Raw genomic sequence first — 9,581 nt, forward strand, 5'->3', positions numbered from 1 at the left:
TGTCCACAATGTTAACTTCCAATCAAGGTATAGAAACCTGGCTTCATTAATTTTAATGTATCGTTGGAACAGGCTGAACAAGAACTCTTGCTAACATGGGCTTGCCCAAGCAAGATGCCATACATCCTTCTGAGCAGGAAAGAAATCCTTGGAAAAAAATTTTAAATGTATGACATGTCAAGGCCAAATTAGAATTAAAAAAAAAATCTCTTTGGAATCTCTGGTTTTCTCAAGTCACAATTTACAATCTACATTTCAAGGTCAATTGAACCACTTGATGGCCAATTTGGGGACAAGGAAAGAGCTACATGAGAAATTATAAATGGGCACGAGGGTTTCCGACACCAACCAGACTCTCGCAGCCACACTTGACTGGGTCTCTAATGATCTCAGGTCATTCCAAAAAGCTCAGGTCAAAGGGCTCTGTGAGCACAGGGACTGTTGATTTAACACCAGCCTGTTGACATCCATTCTGCTCACTCTGTGGGCGGAATTTAAATGTGGAAGTATGGCACTAATGAGCTGGCAAGGGGGAAAAATAAATAGGGATTTAAAGTGTTTGTGGAAACCTGACCCTTCTCTGAGAGTCAGCGGTTCTCTTTGCAATTCTAAGACATCCATCCTGTTTTAGAGACAACACTCTCAGTCCTGTAATGGGGACTGAAGGGAGTTAGGACTTGAAGTAAACATCTGCAGGATGGGAAAGATGGCTTAAAGGTAACGTTATGAGAGGGATAGCCATCCATGAAGATTTGGGTGGTCATTTTGGGAAGGATATTAGGGAAAGATGCTTGAGGAATCCCGAAGACAGGATTGGTTGGTGTTTATGTTCAAACATAATGATTCTCACAGATAATGGTTAAGGGAAGCCACATCATTTTTTAGTATAGAAAACAAAATCTGGCTGGGGGCAATGGCTTACACCTGTAATCCCAGCACTTTGGGAGGCTGAGGTAGGTGGATCATGAGGTCAGGAGTTCAAGACCAGCCTGGCCAAGATGGTGAAACCCCGTCTCTACTTAAAAAATACAAAAATTAGCTGGGCATGGTGGCACACGCCTGTAATCCCAGCTACTCGGGAGGCTGAGGCAGAGAATTGCTTAAACCCAGGAGGTGGAGGTTGCAGTGAGCCGATATCACGCCACTGCACTCCAGCCTGGGGATAGAGCGAGACTCGGTCTCAAAAAAAAAAAAAAAAAAAAAGAAAAAGAAAAGAAAAAGAAAAGAAAAGAAAAGAAAACAAAATCAGGCCGGGCACGCTGGCTTATGCCTGTAGTTCCAGCACTTTGGGAGACTGAGGGGGTGGATCACTTGAGCCCAGGAGTTCAAGACCAACCTGGGCAACATAGAAAGAACCTATTGCTACAAAATAAATAAATAAATAAATAAATAAATAAATAAATAAATAAATAAATAAAAATTAGCTGGGCATGGTGGCATGCACCTGTAGTCTCAGCTACTCAGAAGTCTGGAGGTGGGAGGATCACTTGAGCCCAGAGAATTCAGGCTGCAGTGAGCTGTGATTGCACCACTGCACTCCAGCCTGGGCACCAGAGTGAGACCCTGTCTCAAAAAACAAAACAAAACAAAATCTACCTGCAAAGCTAGATTAAGTGCCAACACAGATATGCAAATTCCAATGCATTTGGCTAAACCCAGGGGTGCTGAATCAGAAGTCATTGAGTGTTGTCTTTGCAGAATTGGTCTTAAGATCATGACCTGTTGTATCAGTTGTTCCTAAACTGGAGTATGACTGGAATAGATAAGGAGGCATCAAAATCATCAGGGAGGCCAGGTGCAGTGGCTCATGCCTGTAATCCCAGAACTCTGGGAGGCCGAGGCGGGTGGATCACGTAAGGTCAGGAATTCGAGACCAGCCTGGCCAACATGTTGAAACCTTATCTCTACTAAAAATACAAAAATTAGCCGGCTGAGGTGGCAGGCACCTGTAATCCCAGCTACTCAGGAGGCTGAGGCAGGAGAATAGCTTGGATCCAGGAGGCAGAAGTTGCAGTGAGCCAAGATCGGGCCACTGCACTCCAGCCTGGGTGACAGAGTGAGACTCCATCTTTAAAAAAAACAAAAAACAAACAAACAAACAAACAAAAAAATCAGGACATTTATCAGAAGTGGAAATCTTTAAACTCTGTTTCCAAAGATTTGAGTCTGGTGGTTCTTTGGAAGTTTGATCTTCTCACTGATCAGTTGGAGAAAACTGAGTTGTAGAATACATATTCTTTCCTGATAAATCTTACTAAATTACCCTTGACAAAAACAGGATATAAATGCATGAAAAATTATCACGTGGATGAGCTTGATTGGAAAATCTTTGGCAGCCTATGCAACACGTGCTAACTCACTTTTTGGGGGAGTCCATTTGGAGGACTTCCTTCCTCTTCAATCTTCTGGTTTTCTGGCTGAAACACCCAGTTCCCTGAACGTCATAGAGCTGCCTCTGAACCCACAGCTGAACACGTGCTTTTGCAGTAAAACCCTACAGCTCAGCCCTGCACTTCATCAAGGTGTGCACTCAGCCACAATGCATGCACATGCCCCTAATACATTGTGACACCCTATTACTACAGGGCCTTTATGAGCTTCAAGGGAAATTACATTTTAAATTATAGCATACAAGTATAATGGAGAATCTAATTGTGGCAATGACAGTTTATTTATCAATCATTTATCATTTTGATTTATAAGGTGCCCAGCTTGATTTAAAAGGAGCTAATGTTTAAAAATCTCTAGGCACCCATTCAACCAAATACACACTGAAAGCAACAAAGTGAATAACTCCTGCTTTTCTGCAGCCTTTTGTTCTTTTCCATACCCAAGGCTGAAGCTAGAAGTACAACCAGGTTGATCCCAGGAACCTCCAAGCAGCATCTCAGAACTTCTTGATATCAAATCTCATTTATTGTCGAATTTGGCAGCTATAAACTATCAATGTTAACAGAGAGCCCAGGTTCAGCTGTATTCATATTCTCTTTTTTTTTTTTTTTTTTTTTGAGACAGAGTCTTGCTCTGTCCGCCCAGGCTGCTATGCAGTGGTGCGATCTCGGCTCACTGCAAGTTCTACCTTCCAGGTTCATGCCATTCTCCTGCCTCAGCTTCCTGAGTAGCTAGGACTACAGGCGTCCGCCGCCACGCGTGGCTAACTTTTTGTATTTTTTTTTTTAGCAGAGACGAGGTTTCACTGTGTTAGCCAGGATGGTCTCGATCTCCTGACCTCGTGATCCGCCCGCCTCCGCCTCCCAAAGTGCTGGAATTACAAGCGTGAGCCACTGCGCCCGGCCGCTGTATTAATATTCTTGTAACCCAAGTTCACAAAGCTACAGATTTTTTTTTTTCTTTGAGACAGAGTCTGACTCTGTCGCCCAGGCTGGAGTGCAGAGGTATGATCTCAGCTGACTGCAACCTCCACCTCCCGGGTTCAAGTGATTCTCCTGCTTCAACCTCCTGAGTAGCTAGGATTACAGGCACCTGCCACCACGCCCGGCTAGTTTTTATATTTTTAGTAGAGACAGGGTTTCACCATGTTGGTCAGGCTGGTCTCGAACTCATGACCTTAGGCCATCCACCCACCTCGGCCTCCCAAGGTGCTGGGATTACAAGCATGAGACACTGCACCCGGCCCTTTCTCAGTTCTTTAAGATTCACCCAACGGGGTCTATAGGTGCTAGTCATTAGCCCTTCAAATGCAACTCACTCCATTGTGTAAATTAACTTGACAATATACATATCCCTGCTCCCAAACCATTCCTCCTTGACAACTCTCTATGGGCTTTGTTCTAGGATTTCAGCACCTCTCTGGCACTCAATTTACTCTGATTTAAATCTGACGTCTCCTGCCATGCCTGGCCCTGACACTGGCTCACCCTTTTCTGGGCTTAGCCTTTATATCTCACCGACACAATCTGCCCAACACCTGACTTCACCTTGCCCTGGTTTTCGTTTTCCACCTTGATGTTTTCATTCCAGCTCTGGTAGCTCTGAAGAGCTCACCATGAAGCACGGCACCAGTTGAGCTATCAGAAGTCTTTTCTTTTTTTCTTTTTTTTTTTTGAGACACAGTCTCGCTGTGTCACCCAGGCTGGAGTGCAGTGGCATGATCTCGGCTCAATGTAACCTCCAACTCCTGTGTTCAAGCGATTCTCCTGTCTCAGCCTCCCAGGTAGCTGGGACTGCAGGCACCCGCCACCATGCCCAGCTATTTTCTTTTTTTACTTTTTTAGTAGAGACCGGGTTTCACTATGATGGCCGGGCTGGTCTTGAACTCCTGACCTCGTGATCCGCCCACCTCGGCCTGTCAGAGTGCTGGGATTACAGGTTTGAGCCACTGCACCCAGCCAGAAGTCTTGAGAGGTATGAAGTCCCAGACTTGCTATAGCAACTAATCAAAGTTGGAGTCTTCAAGGTGGGGCCATCCCTAGAGGTCAACTGCAGCAGTCATATAGAGTTTTTCAGAGTATGATTTCTGGTTCAACTCAGCACACCTCTTATAGTGAGCACGTCTTACATGCCAGGCACTAACCTAGGGCTCTGCTTTGAAGAGGTTCTCCCAGGCATTAATTTGTTTGTTTGTTTGTTTTGTTTTTTGAGGCAGAGTCTCACTCTGTTGTCCAGGCTGGAGTGCAGTGGTGCAATCTCGGCTCACTGCAACCCTTGCCTCCCAAGCTCAAGCAATTCTCCTGCCTCAGCCTTCCAAGTAGCTGGGATTACAGGCACTCGCCATACACCTGGCTAATTTTTGTATTTTTAGTAGAGATGGGGTTTCACTATGTTGGCCGGGCTGGTCTCGAACTCCTGACCTCAAGTGATCTGCCAGCCTCGGCCTCCCAAAGTGCTTAGATTACAGGCATGAGCCACCACCCCCAGCCCCTTAAGTTGTTTAATTCCCATCTTCCACCTTCAAAGGTGGCGTGTTTTTTTCCGCTATACCCTACACCCCTCCTACTCAGCACATTCCCCTTTATTTGCTATGTTCAACTACCTCGTTTGGAAAAGGTCTTAGGTCCACCAAGCTGCTACGGTGAGAGAAGAACAGAACCCTCCTTTTCCTTTCTCTGATATCTCTACTAAAGAATGTGATGTGCTTCCAAATATTAGAACACCTGGTTGTCAATAGAAAATCTAATTTCCAAATGCCTTAATAACTTAATAATCATCACTTCTTGAATTAGGCTAAAATGGTCTTGAAGGACTCATTGTCTTCCCCCAGTGAGGAAGACTAATCTCTGAAAATAACAGATGGCAAAATGATCTGCCTTCTTAAGCAGGTTGTGGGCCACTTGGGATTCACACCAAAATCTCCTCATTGTATTGTTTAATATTTAAAAAGGGTCAGGCTCGGTGGCTCACATCTGTAATCCCAGCACTTTGGGAGGCCGAGGAGGGCATATCACTTGAAGTCAGGAGTTTGAGACCATCCTGGCCAACATGGAGAAACCCCGTCTCTACTGAAAATACAAAATTAGCCAGGCATGGTGGCACATGCCTGTAATCCCAGCTACTCAGGAGGCTGAGGCAGGAGAATCTCTTGAACCCAGGAGGCAGAGACTGCAGTGAGCCAAGATTGCACCATTGCACTCCAGCCTGAGCAACAAGAGTAAAACTCTGTCTTATAAAAATAAAATAAAAATAAAAATAAAATATTAGCCAGGTATGGTGGCATGCACCTGTGGTCCCAGCTACTCGGGAGGCTGAGGCAGGAGAATCGCTTGAACCCAGGAGGCAGAGGTTGCAGTGAGCAGAGGTTGAGCCACTGTGCTCCAGCCTGGGCGACAGAGTGAGACTCCCTCCCCAAAAATAAAATAAAATAAAAAGTTCTTTGTGCCTCTGTTGACAACAGTTTGACACCTCCTGAAAAAGTTAAGCATAGAATTATCATAGGATCCAGGCTGGGGGTGGTGGCTCACGCCTGTAATCCCAGCACTTTGGGAGGTTGAGATGGGTGGATCATGAGGTCAGGAGATCAAGACCATCCTGGCTAATATGGTGAAACCCCGCCTCTACAAAAAATACAAAAAAAAATTAGCCGGGCATGGTGGCGGGTGCCTGTAGTCCCAGCTACTTGGGAGGCTGAGGCAGGAGAATGGTGTGAATCCGGGAGGCAGAGCTTGTAGTGAGCCGAGATCACGCCATTGCAACTCCAGCCTGGTGGACAGAGAAAGATTCCATCTCAAAAAAAAAAAAAAAAAAAAAAGAATTATCATAGGATCCAGCAATTTTACTCTTAGGTATACCCCAAAAGAATTAAAAACAGGTACTCAAATAAGTATGTAGCACACATATTCATAATAGCATTATTCACAATAGCCAAAAGGTGAAAACAGCCAAGAAGTCCGTCAACAGATGAATGGATAAACCAGTGGTGGTATATCCATGCAATGGAATATTACTCAGCCCTAAAGAGAAAGGAAGTACTGATACACACCACAACATGGATGAACCTTTAAACACTATGCTAAGTGAAAAAGGCCAGACACAAAAGGCTATAAATTGTTCATTTTAAAATGGTTGATTTTATGTTAAGTGAATTTCCACCTCTATAATTCACCTATTGCATAAGTTTTGAAAAAAATTATAGTATGGTACGTATTATGCAGATTTTTTCACTAGTCTTATTTTTGTCTTATTTAGTCTTTTGGCCCCATTTATAGTGAGAATAGATAAACCCATAGTGACAGAAGGCAGATTCATATTTGCCAAGGGATGGAGGGAAGGGGAAATTTGGAGAAATGGCTTAAGGGGTACAGGATTTTACTTTGGAGTGATGGAAATATTTTGGAACTAGATAGAGGCAGTGGTTGTACAATATTATGAATGCACTAAATGTCATTAAATTGTTCACCTTAAAATGGTTAATTTAATGTTATAGGAATTTCCATTGCTATTTTTTTTTTTCAAAACTTATGTGGCTGGGCAATGTGGCTCATGCCTGTAACCCCAGCCCTTTGGGAGGCAGATCACCTGAGGTCAGGAGCTTGAGACCAGCCTGACCAACATGGAGAAATTTATCTAATACATAAATTAGATGGGTGTGGTGGCACACACCTGTAATCCCAGCTACTCAGGAGGCTGAGGCAGGAGAATCGCTTGAACCCAGGAGGTGGAGGTTGCAGTGAGCCAAGATCGTGCCACTGCACACTCCAGCCTGGCTGACAGAGTGAGACTCCATCTCAAAAAAAAAAAAAAAATTAGCCAGGCATGGTGGTGGGCACCTGTAATCCTAGCTACTTGGGAGACTGAGGCAGGAGAATCCCTTGAACACTGGAGACGGAGGTTGCAGTGAGCCTAGATTGTGCCATTGCATTCCAGCTGGGGCAATGAGAGCGAAACTCCGTTTCCAAAACAAACTAACAAACAAACAAACTTATTCATTAGGTGAATTTATTTACCTTATGATAATGAGTTCCACTGCTAGTGTAGTGTACATTATGTAAATATTTTCACTAGTCTTATTTTTGTCTTTATGGCCTACATGAAAGAAAGGAGATTCTAACAGGTTTTTTTTTTTTGGAGGCAGAGTCTCACTCTGTTGCTCAGGCTGGAGTGCAGTGGTGCAATCTCGGCTCACTGCAACCTGCAGTCCTCATGCCTCAGCCTCCCGAGTAGCTGGGATTACAGGTGCACACCACCACACTCAGCTAATTTTTTTTGTATTTTTAGTAGAGATGGGGTTTCACCAAGTTACCCAGTTGATCTTGAACTCCTATGCTCAAGCCATCCTCCCATCTCGGCCTCCCAAAGTGCTGGGATTACAGGCGTAAGCCACCATACCCAGCCTCTAATAGGTTTATTAAAATTTATTATTTATTTATTTGAGATGGAGTCTCACTCTGTCGCCTAAGCTGGAGGGCAGTGGCGCGATCTCGGCTCACTGCAACCTCTGCCTCCAGCGTTCAAGCGATTCTCCTGCCTCAGCCTCCCGAGTAGCTGGGATTACAGGTGTGTGCCACCACACCCAGATAATATTTTTGTATTTTTAGTAGAGACGGGGGTTTCACTGTGTTAGCCAGGATGGTCTCCATCTCCTGATCTCGTGATCCACCTGCCTCGGCCTCCCAAAGTGCTGGGATTACAGGCGTGAGCCACTATGCCTGGCTGGTTATTTTTTAAAGGCATTAAAATCTGTCCAAACAGTTAAAGCCAGTCACTCCTGCAGGCCGGGCTCAGACATAGATGCTCAGATTCCGAGCCTTAGAACATGCCAGCACAACACAGATCTGGCCAGGTGAAGGTAGTCAAGATCAAGCTATCATCAGTCCTCGGACTTGGTAGCTTAATGGATGGGGAGAGCAGATGGGAATTCTAGAGTAAAGGGGAGAGGGCCTGGGTCAAAGGCTAATGTTCATGCCCTTCACAGAAAAAGCCACTGGTAGGCAATGAGTACAATCCCGAATCTCTAAAACTTACATTCTAGCCAGGGAGACAGACGCTACACCTAGGAAATACAGCTCAGTGAATAACAACATAAGAAAATATTTTTTTCTTCTTCTAGGGGGGGTCTCACTCTGTTACCCAGGCTAGAGTGTAATGGCACCATTCATAGCTCATTGCAGCCTCGACCTCCTGGTCTCAAGTTGATTATCCCTCCTAGTGCAGCAGAAGGCTATGAAAAAGGCTACTTAGCACTCATTTTAGAGTTCAAGAAGGAGAGCGTAACCATTCAATTCCTAAAAGCAAAGCCTCATACTAACCCATCTCACCCTCCAAGGTTAGGAGAGATTTCTGCCATCTGGATTTTCACTCAATTGAGTCTGAAATGGTTGTGTTTGTTAGTTTGTTTGTTTGCTTGTTTTGAGCTGGAGTCTCTCTCTGTCGCCCAGGCTGGAGTGCAGTGGCACCATCTCAGCTCACTGCAAGCTTCACCTCCCAGGTTCATGCCATTCTCCTGCCTCACCCTCCCGAGTAGCTGGGACTACAGGCGCCTGCCACCTCGCCCAGCTAATTTTTTGTATTTTTAGTAGAGATGGGGTTTCACCATGTTAGCCAGGATGGTCTCGATCTCCTGACCTCGTAATCCACCCGCCTCGGCCTCCCAAAGTGCTGAGATTACAGGTGTGAGCCACCGCGCCTGGCCGTTTGTTTGTTTTTGAGACAGTCTCATGCTGCCGCCCAGTCTGAAGTGCAATGGTGCAATCTCAGCTCACTGCAACCCCTGCCTCCTGGGTTCAAGTGATTCTCATGTCTCAGCCTCCTGAGTAGCTGGGATTACAGGCATGAGCCACAATGCGTGGCTAATTTTTGTGGGTTTTGTTTTGTTTTTTGAGACAAGGTTTTGCCATGTTGGCCAGGCTGATCTCGAACTTCTGGGCTCAAGTGATCCACCCACCTCCGCCTCCCGAAGTGCTGGAATTACAGGCATGAGCCACTGAGCCCAGCCAAGTCTGAAATCTTTAATTGGTTAAAAAAAATTAGCCAGGCATGGTGGCTCGTGCCTGTAGTCCCAGCTACTCGGGAGGCTGAGGTGGGAGGATTGCTTGAGTCCAGGAGGTTGAGCCTGCAGTGAGCTATATTTGTGCCATTGCATTCCAGCTTGGGTGACAGAATGAGACCCTGCCTCTAAATAAACCAAT

General features: G+C 45.3%; 2 annotated features.

Moving 5' to 3' along the window:
* Positions 3,497 to 4,040: an enhancer, noted in NCBI's record as "NANOG hESC enhancer chr7:68255816-68256359 (GRCh37/hg19 assembly coordinates)". NCBI's record gives its function as "activates a minimal SCP1, AML or CMV promoter by ChIP-STARR-seq in naive H9 embryonic stem cells {active_cell/tissue: H9 hESC(naive)}" and the evidence as "EXISTENCE:reporter gene assay evidence [ECO:0000049][PMID:30033119]".
* Positions 9,202 to 9,354: a silencer, noted in NCBI's record as "fragment chr7:68261521-68261673 (GRCh37/hg19 assembly coordinates)". NCBI's record gives its function as "represses an EF-1alpha promoter that drives an FKBP-Casp9 reporter gene in an ReSE screen in phorbol 12-myristate 13-acetate-treated (for megakaryocytic differentiation) K562 erythroleukemia cells {active_cell/tissue: K562(+PMA)}" and the evidence as "EXISTENCE:reporter gene assay evidence [ECO:0000049][PMID:32094911]".

Source organism: Homo sapiens, chromosome 7 (genome assembly GCF_000001405.40).
Source record: "Homo sapiens chromosome 7, GRCh38.p14 Primary Assembly".
Taxonomy (NCBI): Eukaryota; Metazoa; Chordata; class Mammalia; order Primates; family Hominidae; genus Homo; species Homo sapiens.